Below are 17935 nucleotides of genomic sequence, written 5' to 3' on the forward strand. Positions count from 1 at the left end.
GATCTCATCTGAGTCACATCAAAGCCCACACTCTTCTTCAACGTTCACCTTCCAGACACGCTCCAAAACAGCCCCTCAGAATTGTCTTGAGATGAAACAAAAGGTGATGAAGCTCCAGGTTTGGAATGCCTGCCTCATTCCTCACTCCTGAAAAGTCTACACCTGCTGGTTAGAACTCTCATACCTTAGGGAGCCCGGGCTCTCAGAGTGCATCCTCTAACAGGACCTCCTGGCCTTTTCCTCCTTGGAGGAGAGTGCCCAAGAATAAGAGGGAATACATGGCCTCCACTCTCACTTGACTTGATTGACTGATTAACTGATGTCTGAGGAGGAAACATATGTAGGGAACAGCCTGGGTCTTTTGAATCCCTGTTCCCCAGCTATGATGCCTGTGCAAATGGAGGGAGAATCCCAAAGTATTGTTGGGAGGTAGACAGACACTGGCTAACACAATTAAGTAAATATAAGGTGACTTGAAGGGAAATTTATCATATGTCATATACAAAATTTTAGTTAGTGAACTTTATTTAAAAACAGTCACAATTTGTAAGGGGAGTAAAGTATAATTTTAATGGGGAACTATGAAAATTATCTGCACTTGCTATGTAAATGATTGAGTTAGGGGTAACAATCTGAAGGTCATGAGCTTGATATCTGCTACTTAATTTCATAAGACATTTACTTGCAAATGGTTGTCATTTTTGCTCTCACCATATGAAAATTTTTTCTTGCTAAGAGCATTCCTATGAAAGAAAAACTAGAAATTTTGCCAATTTCGGTTATTAAAACAATAAAACTGGTTTGTTTGTTATTCTTAACCAAATGCTCCTACAGATGGCACATAGTACCCATGCTTTGATTGTTTTTTTCCCACCTTAAGTCAATTGCCTTTCATTTTATTCATCAAACTGTTTTTACTGTAGATAGACATTGCAGTTGTCATGTGCCCTATGGATTTGTACTTTATTAGAAATATGAATTCTCAGGCCGAGTATATTGGCTCACGCCTGTAATCCCAGCACTTTGCGAGGTGGAAGAGAGTGGATCACCTGAGGTCAGGAGTTCAAGAACAGCCTGACCAACATGGTAAAACCCCATCTCTCTACTATTTACAGTTCGCATTGTACCTTGCAATGAATATACATTTTATCCAAAAAGCCTAAAAAATAATGAAATTGGGGGTGGGGGCATGGCTGGAAGTATAGATAAAACAAAAATGACACATGACTAGCAGCTGTTAAAGCTGGGTGACTGGTCTGTTATACTTTTTTTGTATTGTGTATGTTTTTAGTGATCTGTAATAAAACACTTGTACAAAATGACAAAGTTTATCTACACTTAGCTCTTAAGGTCTTGGTTACCTTTGGGAAGGGGAAAGTGTCAGGGGCATGAACAAATCTGATTCTTAGATACACAAGTGTATTTATTTAGTAATAATTCATCAAACATTCCCTAAATGCTTTGTGCCTATATTGCTGTATGCATGTTATTTATCAATAAAAATGTAAAGAGTGCATGTTTGCATAACAATCCTAAATTAATATTTTAGAATAATAGCAATGTTTTGTTTTGTTTTCAAGTGGGGCGTGTTCACTCAGGACATCATCAGGTGTATGTTAATGTTCCAAGTTATTTATTTATGTTTTAACTTTTGGGTGAGCCCCCCTGGGTCTTTTAATTTTTACTTCAACACAGTAAGTAGCATGGTTTTAACTTTTTGGAATGCAGCTTTGTTTTCATCAAGGTTCTCCCCGAAGAATGATGCTCACCCAGGCCAGGGCACACAGTGACCCGTGCACAGGATGCACTGAGCACACACGGCACTGGGTGAACCAGGAACAGAAGGAGAAGCCAGCCTGGGTCTGCAAAATATACTTTGCAGGAAAAGCAGGTAAAATGGAAAGGTCACAATTCAGCAGCAAACGTTTTCACATTCATTGGAGAAATCATTTCTAACAAAAGCTGCTCGTTAAAGCCATGGTTTTCTGGCTTGCCTACACATTGTAATCACCTGCACGACTTTCAACCATATTTTTTTCAGATCCAGCTCCAAGGATTCTGATTTAGTTGTGCGGTTACAACTTGGGTTTAAGGGATTTTGAAAGTTTTCCTCCCCGCAGGTGATTCTCTTGCGCCAGGGGTAAGAAGCGCTGGATAGGGGTGAGGGATGCTTTAGCTGTGAGAGATAGCCATGTACGCTTCAGGATTTGCCCCATCGCATATCTGGAGTTCGGGGTCTTAGAAAGCTTTCTTGCCCTGTTAAAAATTAAAGGATGGCTTCAATACATACTTAGCTGCTTGGCTACATTGCAGAAAAACAAATTGCCTTTCCAGAGATCAGTTTTTTGAGACAGGGTTTTGCTCTGTCAGCCAGGCTGGAGTGCAGTTGTGTGATCATGGTTCATTGCAGCCTTGACCTCCCAGGCTCAGGTGATCCTCCAGCTCCAGCCTTCTGAGTAGCTGGGACTGAAGTCATGCACCACCAGGCCTGGCTAATTTTTCAAATTTTTTTTTTTTTTTTTTTTTTTTTTTTTTTTTGTAGAGATGGCTTTCTCTATGCTGCCTGGGCTGGTCTCAAACTCCTGGTCTCAAGTGATCCTCCCACCTCAGTCTCCCTAATAGTTCGACCTACAGGCACAGGGAAGCATGCCCGGTATATTTATTAAAATGTAGTTACCAGAATATTTAAAATTCACTTGTGCCTCTCATATTATTTCTTAGAGAATTGCCTCCCTTTTGAAATCTCAGGCTGCCTGCTCTAAAACCTGGATGTGCCAGGAAAGTAAAACATCTGAAATTTTAAAACAATTGTCATTATATTGATTCCATATATGAATAACACATATATATTATTCATTAATACAAATAATCTTACATACAAATGTAAATGCAAATATTTTACAGGCAGGGCCAGTTTCTAGTTCACAGAGGAAGCCCTGCCAGAAAAGGATCCAGGAAAAACCTATAATTCTTGCTTTATTCAACCCAGTGTCAAATCACATATGTCACTCATGGTCTGAGGCGGCAGGGTAGGGAATTGAACTACATCCAATCATGGGTCTTGGAGTGGAAACTATCTAATCAGGTGCACAGCTGGAGAAGAATGGGCAGCTTTTTGGAAGTACGGAGGCCTTGGCCTGTCTCTCCACTCAGAGCTCAGGACACTAGAGCCACCTCAACATAATCACCTGTTTTTTAGTTATTTTAACACTCCAAAAGGGAACTAGTTTTCTCATGCATTTTCCAAATGTGTGGCAGGCAGAGACTCAAATCTAACTCCCTGTTGCCCCAGCCTAACTCTGGCTTGCAATCAGATTTTAAATTTCCAGTTCTTTCCTGACACTCACCAACACTAACTAACCTTCCATAATTCACAACATTATCAACTGTTCTTTATTGTACATTTCAGACACAGTATTTCAATTCTTCTTTTTGTCAAAAAGCAGTGGATGTCATTTAAAAAAATTTTTTCTCATTTGTAAACATTTTACAGGAGATGAAAGCAGAGAATAATCCCCTGACACCCCACTGTAAAAAAAATAAATAAAAAGCGGAAAACCTTTGTGCCCCTTTGTTTAAACTTCTCTTGGCACAGACACCCCATCAGAAAGCCTTTGGGTTCAGGTTTCATTTTGGAAACTTCACAGGGCAATACATCCTCAGCCATCCTGTTATTTTCTTGGTTTTGAATTTCAAAACTGTTTGAGGATTCCCCAAGATGCCAACAGTGGCCATGACTCTTGAAGTGTCTAGTAAATAGCATCCCTTGTGTCATCTCCTCTCAGGGAACAGCCCAAGGTATGGGAATGCAGCCTCTCTGTGGAGTGGTTGTTTGAGATGTGCCTGGAAGGAATCTCTAGGTATACCCTTGCGCTAAAAGCAAACCCATTAGGTCATTAAGATTTTCTTACCCCAAAGCTTAGTTTCCATTCCTTAGAGACACATTGCAGGCCAGGCAAATGGATGCTGATATTGAGGAAAAAATGTTCTCAGATTGGTGAAGGGAGAGAAAATATTTCAAAGGACAAAGAAACCCAACCTAGTGAGGCAGTGCAAAAACCTGCAAAGTAAAATGCACCTCAGGGACACAGAGGAGCACAGGGTAGCGACTCCTGGTAGGATGGTCATGACCCACTTCACTGAACCAGATGTGAGTGGGGAAAATATCCCAAGTAATAGAATGGCTTGACTTGACCCTTGGGTCTGATATGTCTGTGTTTCAATCGGCACTGTCACCTTCTAATTTTGTCACCTTGAAAATGTTTTTGTACTTACTTTAACTTCACTTTTTAATTAACTGTAAACTATGTTTTATCAGTAGAGCTTGAAAGGCATGAAAATATTTATAAAGCACATTAAGTTGGTGAATTTTGAATAAAATTAAGTAGTAATATATTTCACTTGTTAAAAATTGTTACTTGCCTATTTCTTTAGCAGAATGAGTGTCGTACATTTCCCAGGACTGTTTTTTATTTGTCTGAGAGGTGATTTCAAGCAGAATCTCACGACTTACTGTTGGGAATGTTACCAGGTGTATTGATAGGGATAGTCTCTCTTCCACTACGGTGGTACGAAATGAATACATACCTACAAGCACGTGAGGTAGATTAATTGTTAAATTACATAAATTTATCACATCAGTTATTCTTTTTTCAAAACAGAGAACTTCTGATAGTGAGTATCTCTGTTCCATATGCTGTCATCTGGGTGTTTGAGGGTAACGCTAAGTTTTAGGAGCTGGGACTTGGCACCGCCTGGAAGTGTTCACATATGATTGTTTACTAAATGATTTGTTATGAACATAATTAAATTACATGTTTATTTTCTGAAAGGGATAGATACTTTGGCTTTTCTTGTTGAGTTATAAAATGTAAGCCCCTTATAACTTTCTTTTTTAATTTTAATTTTATTTTTTAGACTTAGTGTCACTCTTGTTGCCCAGTCTGGAGTGCAATGGCACGATATTGGCTCACTGTAACCTCCACCTCCCGGGTTCAAGCAATTCTCCTGCCTCGGCCTCCCAAGTAACTGGGATTACAGGAATACACGACCACCCCCGTTTAAGTTTGTATTTTTAGTAGAGACTGTGTTTCTTCATGTTAGTGAGGCTGGTCTCGAACTCCTGACCTCAGGTAATCTGCCCGCCTCAGCCTCCCAAAATGCAGGGATTACAGGCATGAGCCACCATGCCCGACCATAATTTCCTCTCTTTTAAACCTTAGATTTGAATGATTTTTGCTGGATTCTTCAAACATGAAGTATTTTTTAAATTGAAAACTAATTGAATGACTTTAACTGGTAAGTAGAAGTCTTAGACCGTTGACTAAAAGCTAAGGCTAACGTTGACCCTGCAAAAGGGGGCCACTGAAGGCCCAGTTGATTATTCCTGGGTGTCTGCCCTGCAGACATCAAAGTCTGCTCACACCAACCATAGAAGGAGCCTTTGTCACTGTCAGAAGATACAGAGCTTTGGTAAGCTGGAAGTTGACAGGCAGATGCAGTTGGGGTTGAGATTGAAGAAAAGTTGGGATATTCTTTCTAGAATGGAGTTGTTATTGTCCTGAGACTGTTTATAGACTTTGTCTAAGAAGTTACTTAAGAAGTGTTGTAACAAGGAAAAAGTACAAATGATTAGATCTTTGAGGATCTCAAAGGTTAGGTGGAAAAGGGTTTTATTTCATAGGGAGGAGAAAATAAGTTTACAAAGAAGGTTGGAAAGGAAGCACAGGATGGAGGGTAGCAAAATCAGATCCCAGATAAGATAATGTTTCATCTTGAAGTCAGCCTGTTCTTAGGAGGGATATGTATAAATATGGGTTGTAGGTTCTCTGAGGCTGTGGGTGAGTCAAAGTTCAGGGGCTGAGGGAAGAAGGGGAACAAGCAAAGTTTTGTTAACAAGTACTCTGTTTTGACCACTGAAGACTAAATTACAGAATGGTTGTTCATTTTTAAAAATAGGAATTTGTAATCTGTGTCCGTCTTTGTGATAGGTTAAAAAAAAGGGGGGGGGGGAACATCCACAAAGTCATAATGGGAAGCACGTTTCTCTTCACTAAGCTGTTCTTTGAGAACACAAAGAATGGGGGAATTTCTTTAAATATAGCTATTTCCAGGATTACCTTCACCCACAACTGTTCCTTTTCCTAGACATCTCTTTCATTTGTCAGTTTCTGAGTTGTATTTTTATAATAAAGTGGTAAATATAATTAGACTTATTTGTTGAGTTTTTTTGAGTAACTCTATCAAATTATTTAACTTGAAAAGGGGTTTATGGGAGTCTCAGATTTATAGGCAGTAGCTCAGAAGTATAGATGGGCTTATGGGACATGTGACTAACCTCTGCAGTGAGAGGGGTGATGTGGGACTTAGCCCTGAATTTGTGGGATCTGTGCGAACTCTAAGTTGTGTCAGAATTAAATTTTGGGGCAAGAAATGGGTGTTGAAGAAGCAGTGGGTTTTCAGGGAACTTTACACATTTAGGATCAAAAGTGTTGTAAGGAGAAAGACAATGTGGGGGCCTTTGCTGGAGAGAGACTCCAGGTGTCTCGGGGAAGGTAGGCTCTGCTCTGCACACAGGCTGCTACGCCATGCACTGCCCTGTGGTTCCAGGCATCCTCCCATGGTAAGAAGGACCGACGACTCTGAGGGAAGAAGTTCTGAGAACAGATGCCTTCTACCCTCCTGCCAACTTGAAGCCACCACATGTTTTTCACCCACTGAACATACACACTGCATGTTGACGTGGTCAAGCCCCTCTCAGGACAAGGCTTTGGCATCAAGATTGTTGCCCATCCTACCTTTCCTCATAGACTTTCCCACCAAAAACCCACACACGTGCCTACAAGACCCCTGGCATATGTTCTACTTCAGACACCGAATCTGCAGTGGCAACCTGGTTTTTTCACCATCGCAGATTTCTGTGCCACCTGATCATAATCTCGTCTTCCTGCATGAACATAGAAATAACTCAGAGAAAAGTTTCACCTGGGTCAGTGTCTGTAGCATGAACCAGTCCTCCCACCAACCCTGTACAGTCTCTCACTTCTGGTTTCTTAATAGCACCTTCCCCTCTTTTACCTTTTAGTTCACCTCAAACCCTTTCTTTTATGTGCACACAGTGTGCCCAAGGCCACCCCTCAGTTGCCTGAATCCAGCACCTACCAAAATTCAGATGTCCAGTAGTTCAAGACCATGGGCCTAGACTAAGTTTTTGCAGAAGGCAATACAAATTAGAAATGAGAGGCTCTATTCTCCCATTTGAAAATAAAAAAAAGATTTTTTTCTTTTCCTTTTTCTTAAACAATGTAATCTGGAAAACTTTAATTAGTAATTTTTTGAGGCAGAATCTTACTCTTTTACTTAGCCTGAAGTGCAACGGCATAATCATAGCTCACGGTAACCTTAACCTCTTGGGTTTGAGCAGTCCTCCTGCATCAACCGCTTAATTACCTAGGACTATAGGCATGAACCACCATGCCTGGCTAGCTTTATTTATTTTTGTTTTTATTTTTTTTCAAGACAGTGTCTTGCTCTGTGGGCTAGGCTGGAGTGTAGTGCCATGATCTTGTCTCAATGCAACCTCCACCTCCCAGGTTCAAGCAATTCTCCTGTCTCAGCCTTTTGAGTAGCTGGGATTACAGGCGCACACCACCATGTCTGGCTAATTTTTTGTTATTATTATTTTTAGTAGAGAATGGGTTTTACCATTTTGGCCAGGCTGGTCTCCACCCCCTGACCTCATTATCCACCTGCCTCAGACTCCCAAAGTGCTGGGATTACAGGTGTGAGCCAACATGCCCAGCCATATTTATTTTATTTTTTTGTAGTGACAGAATTTCACCATATTGCCTGTACTGGACTCAAACATTTGGCTTGAAGGTATCCTCATGCCTTGGCCTCCCCAAATGTTCAGATTACAGGCATGAACCACCATGAGTGGCCTGGAACACTTTTACATGTACCTTTTTTTCTCTGCTTCTTTGAAATATAAGCAAATCATTTTAACAGCTAAATAAGCCTTCTGTCATTCTTCATGACAGAGAATTGTCTTTATCTAAGACCTGGAAACTATTGCTTTGTTTTTTAATTTGGCAAAGATTTATTTATTTTTTATTTTCAGTCCTTTGAAGTAGGCACAGCGCAGTACAGTGGCTCATGTTTTTAATCCTAGTGCTTTGGGAGGCTGAGATGAGAGAATTGCTTGGGCCCAGGAGTTTGAGACCAGCCTGGGCAGCATAATGAGACACTTTCTTTATAACAAATTAAAATCAACTAGCAGGGCATGGTGGCACAGGAGGCTGAGGTGAGAGAATCATTTGAGCTCAAGAGTTTGAGGCTGCAATGAGCCATGATCACTCCAATCTACCACTGTATTCCAGCCTGGATGACAGAGGGAGACCCTGTCTCTAAATAAATAAGCAAATAAAAAAATGTGTTTTTCCATACATAAAAATAAGTTAATAAACAGATAAATAAAATAGACATGGATTTGCTTAGAATAAAGCTAATTATAAGATAACAGAAAAGTGAGCACCAAAGATGGGGTTCACCTTAGCAAGTGATTCCAGCCTATTAGGACACTCACAGAATTCTCCCTGCAGCATGACCAACATGAAAGTAGAATGTCATCATGTCAGGCTATACCAGCGTTGGAAGACTAAACACTGTGGGGAAGAACCTCCCTTATGGAATATTATCAACAGGTGAGAGACCAGCTCCTGCCCTGATGGGCTACAGAGATGAATTCTTGAGATAACACATTGCAGAAACATGCATAGAGTAGTTTAACCTTTTTTGTGTGTAACCCTTTCTCCATTTTCCTGCAAAATCCTCCCTAGAAATAGTGTTCGCTTTTAAGTTTTGAGGGTCTGGTAGGACTGAAGCTGCATGCTGCAGGAGATACCTGGGGTAGGAAACTAACACAAACTGCAGCTACAGGCACAAATACTCATGGCCTAATGTAAAGTGAAAACAATAGAAAGGTCTTTACTGTTATTCACCCAAGTGAGTGAACAGAGACTTTCCACATAACCAACTTGCCACTGAGACTAATGAAGGCCAGATTCCACTGGATCAAGACTATGAGTTACTCATGGGAAGATCATAGGACACAGCCCAGAGAGTTTTCATACTGGAGTCTGGGTACTGGGTCTGTCCCGGTCTTCTCGGGTTTCTGTCTGTAGAGACCCCTATGTGGCTGCTCTTACCACAGCCCGGTGCTGGCTGTGGTTGCTGGCTTAGTGCACCTGGTCTTTTTCCAAAAAGAGGGAGGAGTTGGCCACATCAAGAAGCTCCTCATCAATCTGAATGCAGCTCTGTAAAAAGTGCCTAGAAACCACGCAAAGAAAAGTCAGTGGTCTGCCTTGTTTTCACCGTATGTGACACCTCCACTAGAAATTCTGCTTTTCTCTGCACTCCAGCCTGGGTGACAGAGCGAGGCTTCCTCAAAAAGGAAAAAAGAAAAAGAAAAAGAGAGAAAGAAAGACAGAAGGAAGTAAGGAAGAAGAAAGAAAGAAAAAGAAAGAAAGAAAGAGAAAAAAAGAAGAAAGAAAGAAAGAGAAAGAAAGAAAGAAGAAAGAAAGAAAGAAAGAAGAAAGAAAGAAAGAAAGAAGAAAGAAAGAAAGAAAGAAAGAAAGAAAGAAAGAAAGAAAGAAAGAAAGAAAGAAAGAAAATAAAAGAGAAAAGAAAAGAAAAGAAATTCTGCTCTTCAGATTAGGCACATAAGGAGAATCTGTATGAATCTCCAGCAAGGAAGGAAACCAGAGGACAAGTTAAAGTCTTGGAATTCACATCTGAGTACACAGACTCGTTCTCCAACCCTCTTCTTTTTATTCTGCCAGCTATGGCCTAGGTATGAACATGACAGGTACACAAGGGTTCCAACACCTGACAATCTGCTTCAGTAAAAGAAGAGTGCCCTCCCTCTTGCTCCCCATACAACTCATGGTACTAAGAAATGGTGTGGGACTTCCCAGATGAGTTGACAAGAGAGGCCTGGCTCTGGGGCCTGTCCTGAGCTGCCCTGTGTTATTTGTAGGTGCACCCAGCCAATAGCCAGGGGCATCAATGATGAGGCCTGAGTTGACATCCGTGTTTTCAGATAAGGCTTTTACACTGAGCCTTTGTAAAGTCAAAACTCAGAAATTTCAGGGCACAATGAAAGAACATCTCACTCTCTTGAGCATCTCTCACTAACAGAGGTGGATACAGAGCTGTCTCAAGAATGTGGGTTCCTGGTTTCTTAACTGATGTTGGGTTGTCACCAAGAAAGTGTGTTAAACTCTTCAAGGTTCCATCTACTGGGTCCCTTCTTTCTGTAAGACCTACCCAAAAGCCCCACTATGCTACTAATTGCTCAGTCTCCTCTTCCATGTCAACTCTTCATTTGTACACAAGTATGCAAACACAACTTCCCCTTAATTCCCTGGAAAGAACTAAATGCAGCCTGGGTTCCAGGATATAAGAGACAGCTGGAACATAACCTTGTTTTTCTTACCATCTCTGGGACCCAATAAAAGTCACTGTGTATTTGAGGCTTCCCCAGCCTCCAAGCATGCACAGTGGGGATGATGCTAACATCTACTTCCTAGGGATTGTATTAGATGTATATAAGATAAAACATAAAAATCATGTGGTGTTACCTGTAGATAATGCACACACTTAGAGATGGAAGCATTAGGAGAATATGTAGAAGGTAGCATGGGCCACAACTCAAACAAGCCTGGGTCTGGCAGGGTGATCTTGGGAATGTCACTTCTCCACTGCGCTTCATTTTCATTCTGCTCCAGTATGAAGTTGAAATTAAATGTAGATACTGTCCTCTGGCATTCATATAGTTTAGCTGTGTGTTCCACCCAAACTTCTCTGTGTATTGTAACCCCCAGGTGTTAAGGGAGAAACCTGAGGGGAGATGATTGGATTATGGGGACGGGTTCTCCTCATGCTGTTCTTGTGATAGTGAGTTCTCATGAGATCTGATAGTTTCATAAGCATCTGGTACATCCCATGCTCTCACTCACTTCACTTGTCAGCCACTGTAATTGGAAGGTTTCTGAGGTGCCCTCCCAATTATGTGGAACTGTGAGTCAATTAAACTTCTTTTCTTTATCAATTACCCAGTCTCAAGTACTTCATCATTGCAGTATGACAAAGTCCTAATACAGCCATTCAACTTTCTAGTGCTTTCTCTTTATATTTAGAATCATATCCATGTGCCTTCTCACGTCTATGACAGGGAAACTCTTCACAAAATCTCACAGTACTAGGTGGTTAGTGACTCAGTTTTTTATTGAATAAAATGGCCTACAGCCTGATGACAGTAATATGGCCCTTGGGTTTTGAGGAAAATATCATGTTGTAGGTTGGCCAAAAAGGAGATAGCAGTCCAGCTGAAATTTGTTTTCTTATACTGGCTTTAAGGCAGTGATTAGAAAAGGCCTAAGAGGTGGGTTCTGTAAGGGATTGCTGGAAGGAAAGTAGGAATATGGAAAGTCATGAGACATATACTGTCATCTCTTCTTGCTTCCTCTCAAGTCACATGCAAATTCAGGGAGAGTTAGTATGAAACACACAATGGAAATTTGGGCTCTAACATATGCAATCTGATTCTTCATGGACTTCATTTGGCCATATCAGTTCCAACAATTTCAGCCAATGTTTAAAAATCTTATAAGCAGATAACATTTTAGTGTTTCAACAAGCCATTTCCTATCTTTCATTCTGAAAATCCATTTTAAGTCATTTTTTTAACAGCATAGGGGTACAAATTCAGCTTCTGTCCAATGAAATACAGAAAAGGATATCACTTTTGTATTAGTTCAGGCTGCTATGCCAAAGAACCATAGATAAGCAGCTTATAGACAACAGGACTTAATTTCTCATACTTCTATAGGTTCGAAATTTGAGATCAGGTTGTCAGCACGGTTGAGCTCTGGTGATGACTCGCTTCTGAATTTCAGACTGCAGACTTCAAGTTTTACCATCATTTTGCAGAAGGAGGAAGAGAGCCCTCTGCGGTTCCTTGTATAAAGCCAGTAATCTCTATTATGAAGGTCCCACCCTCAGGAGTTAAGTACATCTTTCATCCGTATAGCATTACAACGGGGGTTACAATTTTAACATAAATACAGGAGAAAAATTATTGGAACTCTCAAGATTTTTGTTTCCTTTTTTTTTTTTTTGAGACAGTTTCACTCTTGTATCCCAGGCAGGAGTGCAGTGGTGTGATCTCGGCTTGCTGGAACCTTCGCCTCCCAGGTTCAAATGATTCCCCTGCGTCAGTCTCCCAAGTAGCTGGGATTACAGGCATGCACCACCACACCTTGCTCATTTTGTACTTTTAGAAGAGACGGTGGTTTCACCATATTGTCCAGGCTGCTTTCAAACCCCTGACCTCAGGTGATCCACCCGTCTCAGCATCCCAAAGTGTTGGGATTACAGGTGTGAGCCACCGCACCCTGTCAAGATTTTTCTAAAGCTCTCATTTTTCTCCTACTGGGTTTTTCCTGTTTGCGCCCTCAATCTTTCTCTGTCTCTTTTTGTGTACACCTTTTTGTCTAATTCTCTCTCTCTATTGTATACCTCAAACACAGGAAGCAAGCTTCAATGCTATGAGATGCTCCATGTAAAGACCAACATAACAGAGCCTGAGGGGGTGCTCAGACCAGTAGAGAGAAGGAAAGTCAGGCTCTCCAGCCACACTAAACCCTGCCAATTTTCACATGAGTCAGCTTAAAGGCTCATGCTTTCCCAGTCCAGCTTCAGTTAAGACCACAGTCCCAATGTCATAAAAGACCTAAAGGCAGAGGTACCCAACTGAACTGTGTCCAGATTCTGGTCCACATAAATTATGAGATATTATATGTTGTTGAAAAGTGCTGACTTTTAGGGCAATGTTGTCAGAAAGGAGCAGATATCTAACCTCATCTCCCAGGCCCTAGGATTCTCCATCCCTCTACTTATATCTTCCTCAGGCTGTCTGCAGCCAAACTTTCTAACCTCTGCCGAACTCACACCTATGAGTCTCTTCACTAAGGGTGGCTTCTCCCTGACACATACTTGTGCAGAGATGTCTCCCTGTTGTCATCCTTATCATGGATTAAACATCACCACAATGAGGCCTTAGTTCCTCCCATGCAATAATTTTCCAGCTTTTCTTCTCAACATTCCACTTTATATTATAGTCCTTCCTCTTTTCTTTCACATATACTTGCTTTAGTGCTTTTATCCAGCTGTCCTCAGAATGTTTGGTCCTGGGTTGGGGGGTGCAGGCATCATGTAATAATTTTCTGTACCACGTTGCACCCACCTGGTTAGCTGGCAAAGGGTGAGCGCAAGGGAAAAAAGACTGGCTAAGTGATTATATGGAGGATCTCTAATATCCCTTCCTCTTTTGACCACCTGATAATGTGGAGATCATTGATAACAACATGAGATGTGTGACTCTTACTTGTTCCAGCTGCTCCAGCAAAGCTCAGTGGGCACCAGAAACAGAGCTGGCTGTAACCACCTCCAGGCCATCACTAACTCTATGGCCCAATGCAGGAGCACTATGGAACAAATCAGGTATCTTGATTTTTCTGTCCTCAAGACACTGGTTCTTCAAGGTCCTAGGGGATAAAGTAGCAGAATCTGAAGGCCCCAAGTACAATGAGTGACCTTGGAATCCCCCTTTGCCTTCTATTTGCCTCTACCTTTTGGGTTGTGCTATTTATCCATGAGATATCCTCCCCTTATCCAGTGAAATTAGTTTCTACCACTTTCAAATGAGGACCTTAAGAACCCAACAGGAGCTGGGATTTTCCGTGGACTTCAGCCTCAGAGTCCAATGCTCTGGAACATTTAGCTCCGTCTCATCTTCATCTACCCAAGATGCCTCTGAAGTGGCCATGCCTCCCTCTGATTTGAAGGACCTACAGAGAGTGGATGCATTTCTGCACAGTCTCAGAGCAAGAATCAGGGCTGGAAGACACTTATGAGTATGTGAAATCGTCGAGGTCACCCAGTTCAAACAGCCCTATTTATGAGGAAGAAAACAGGCTTTCCTGCAGGCATTCTCTACATTAGGCTGAGGTGGAGCATAGCTCATTTTACTTCCAGGTGCCCTCAGAGCTGGATGCAAAACCCCAGTCCTGTCATCTTGAAATTGACATGGAGAGGTCCCCATGTGAACAGAACCCTGGATCTGCTCATTCTCTGTGCCCCTGAATGTGAAGCTACAGGCTCTAACTTCCAAAGCAAACCTGATAGGTGGGATGGAGCCAAGGCCTAGGAAGCTGGAGCTCTCTCTAATGCTCTGGAGCCTGCCCACCTCCTGAGATCTGGATCAGTCCCTGCCTCTTTTGGGGCCTCATTTTCCCAATTGTAATGTAATGAGAAATTAAATGTAAAATTGCATAAGCATATGCTCTGTGAGAATTTGGTGTCAGAGTCCTCAATACTGGATGATATATTTTGGTGGGAGGGGTTTGGGCCCCAGAGGTTCTCGGGACTCCTGACATATCCATTGCAGTAGGTGTAGAGCTCAGGAGATCCAGATCTTCTTTCCTGAGCCAGCTGATTACAATACAATGGACCACGGGCTATGATCTTAAATATGATTTCACAGGATTCCCCACCTTCAGCCACCATCTGCTCTGTGCTTCCCTTATTTTGGGGAGCTGATGACAACCTCCATTATAGTGAGAGAGTCCAAGAAACTAGACTTGTGGACCTGGAGAAAAGAAAAAAACACTTTTCTATTTCTCTCAAACTGTAGAATCTGTTGTCAAATATTTAATTTTGATTCCATCTGAGCTTGATAATACGTTCATGTGTTAAGAGCTGCTTAAATTTATTTTTTCTGTGGTGTGGGATAATGTCTTTTCCCATATTTTAAATCAACTTCTAAAAGCTCTCTTTAAAGTGGAGATGTGAACATCTTTGTGATATAAACTGCACATATTTGTTGCGAGATTGTTCTTTTTCTCTTTGTTAAAATGTTTTGTTTTATTCTGGTTTGGATGTCCTTCAGGGTTTTGTTTTGTGGCTATTTATTACTACAATGCAACTTCTCCCCTAATTGACTGACAGGTTTGTACATTCTCAATAAAATATTTTGGTAAAGTCTTTGTAAAAACTGTGTAGACAATTTTACAGTTTTCATAAACATAAAACAGTCAAGACTGTCATGATGAAAAAGAAAGATTGAGGGCTTAAAAATTAAAATATGACACAGCTAAAGTAGTGTGCAAAGGGAAATTTATGGCACTAAATGCCCACAAGAGAAAGCAGAAAAGGTCTAAAATCGGCATCATAATATCACAATTAAAAATCTAGGGAAGCAAGAGCAAACAAATTCAAAAGCTAGCAGAAGACAAGAAATAATTAAGATCACAGCAGAACTGAAGGAGATAGACACACAAAAAGCCCGTCCAAAAAATCAACGAATCCAGGAGCTGTTTTTTTGAAAAGATCAAGAAATAAATAAACTGCTAGCCAGAGTAATAAGGAAGAAGAGAAGAATCAAATACATGCAATAGGAAATGATAAAGGGGATATAACCATTGATCCACAGAAATAAAAATTACCATTAGAGAATATTATAAAAAACTCTTTACAAATTAACTAGAAAATCTAGACGAAATGGATAAATTCCTGGACACATATACCCTCCCAAGTCCAAACCAGTAAGAAGTCGAATGCCTGAATATGCCAATAACAAGTTCTAAAATTGAGGCAGTAACTAATAGCCTACCAACCAAAAGAAGTCCAGAACCAGAAGGATTCACAGCCGAATTCTACCAAAGGTACAAAGAGGAGCTGGTACCATTCCTTCTGAAACTATTTCAAACAATAGAAAAGAGGTACTCCTCCTTAACTCATTTTATGCATCCAGCATCATCCTGAAACCAAAACTTGGCAAAGACACACCAGAAAAAGAAAATTTCAGGCCCGTATCCCTGATGAATATCGATGCGAAAATCCTCAATAAAATACTGGCAAACCGAATCCAGCAGCACATCAAAAAGCTTATCCACCACGATCTAGTCAGCTTAATCCCTCGGATGCAAAGCTTGTTCAACATATGCAAATCAATAAATGTATTCCATCACATAAACAGAACTAATGACAAAAACCACATGATTATCTCAATAGATGCAAAAAAGGCCTTCAGCAAAATTCAACACCTCTTCATGGTAAAAACTCTCAATGAATTATGTATTGATGGAACTTATCTCAACATATTAAGAGCTATTTATGACAAACGCACAGCCAATATACTGAATGGGAAAAAACTTGAAACATTCCTTTTGAAAATCTGCACAAAACAAGAATACCCTCTCTCATCACTCCTATTCAATATAGTATTGGAAGTTCTGGCCAGGGCAATCAGTCAAGAGAAAGAAACAAAGCGTAATCAAATAGGAAGAGGAACTCAAGTTGTCTCTGTTTGCAGCTGACATGATTGTATATTTAGAAAACCCCATCGTCTCAGCCCAAAATCTCCTTAAACCAATATGCAACTTCAAAAAAGTCTCAGTATACAAAATCAGTGTTCAAAAATCACAAGAATTCCTATACACAATAATAGACAAACAGAGAGCCAAATCATGCATGAACTCTCATTCACAATTGTTACAAAGAGAATAAAATACCTAGGAATCCAACTTAAAAGGGATGGGAAGGACTTCTTCAAGGAGATCTACAAACCACTGCTCAAGGAAATAAGAGAGGACACAAACAAATGAAAAACAATCCGTGCTCATGGATAGGAAGAATCAATATTGTGAAAATGGCCATACTGCCCAAAGTAATTTATAAATTCAGTGTTATCCCCATCAAGCTCCCATTGACTTTCTTTACATAATTAGAAAAAAAACTACTTTAAATTTCATATGGAATCAAAAAAGATCCTGCATAGACAAGACAATCCTAAGCAAAAAGAACAAAAGTGGAGGCATCACACTAGCTATCTTCAAACTATACTAAAAGGCCACAGTAACCAAGACAGTATGGTACTGGTACCAAAACAGATATATTGACAAATGGAACAGAACAGAGGCCCCAGAAATAACATCAAACATCTACAACCATCTGATCTTTGATGAACCTGACAAAAACAAGTAATGGGGAAAGGATTCCTTATTTAATAAATGGTGTTGGGAAAACTAGATAGCCATATGCAAAAAAATGAAACTGGACGTCTTCCTTACTAGTTATACAAAAATTAACTGAAGATGGATTAAAGACTTAAATGTAAGACTTAAAACCATAAAAACCCCCCAAAAAACAAAGGCATTACCATTCAGGACATAGGCGTGGGCAAAGACTTCATGACTAAAACAGCAAAAACAATGGCAACAAAAGCCAAAATTGACAAACGAGATGTAATTAAAGTAAAGAGCTTCTTCACAACAAAAGAAACTATCATCAGAGTGAACAGGCAACCCACAGAAAGGAGAAAATTTATGCAATCTATCCATCTGACAATGGGCTAATATGCAGAATCTACAAAAAACTTAAGCAAATTTACAAGAAAAAAACAAACAACCATATCAAAAATGGGCAAAGGACATGAACAGACACTTCTGAAAAGAAGACATTTATGCAGCCAACAAACATATGAAAAAAAAACTCATCATCACTGGTCATTAGATAAATGCAAATCAAAAACACAGTGAGAAACCATCTCACTCCAGTTAGAATGGTGATCATTGGAAAAATCAGGAAACAACAGATGCTGGAGAGGATGTGGAGAAATAGGAACACTTTTACACTGTTGGTGAGAGTGTAAATTAGTTCAACCATTGTGGAAGACAGTATGGCAATTCCTCAAGGATCTACAATGAGAAATACCATTTGATCCAGCAATCCCATTACTGGGTATATAACCAAATGATTATAAATTATTCTACTACTTAGACACATGCAAACATATGTTTATTATGGCACTGTG

General features: G+C 40.4%; 1 long non-coding RNA gene across 3 annotated transcripts in view; it reads right to left on the reverse strand.

Annotated features, from left to right (window-relative positions):
• The window catches only part of LOC102724701 (uncharacterized), a 441766-nt gene that overhangs the window by 401216 nt on the left and 22615 nt on the right, over positions 1 to 17935 (reverse strand). The window contains exon 4 of one of the 3 annotated variants that reach the window (XR_001755116.2): positions 5126 to 5859. The exons of the other annotated variants lie outside the window; for them this stretch is intronic. This is a non-coding gene — a long non-coding RNA (uncharacterized LOC102724701). Of the gene's footprint in view, positions 1 to 5125; positions 5860 to 17935 lie in introns of those variants that run through there. 3 annotated transcript variants of the gene reach the window in all.

This window comes from Homo sapiens, chromosome 21, assembly GCF_000001405.40.
Source record: "Homo sapiens chromosome 21, GRCh38.p14 Primary Assembly".
Lineage (NCBI taxonomy): Eukaryota > Metazoa > Chordata > Mammalia > Primates > Hominidae > Homo > Homo sapiens.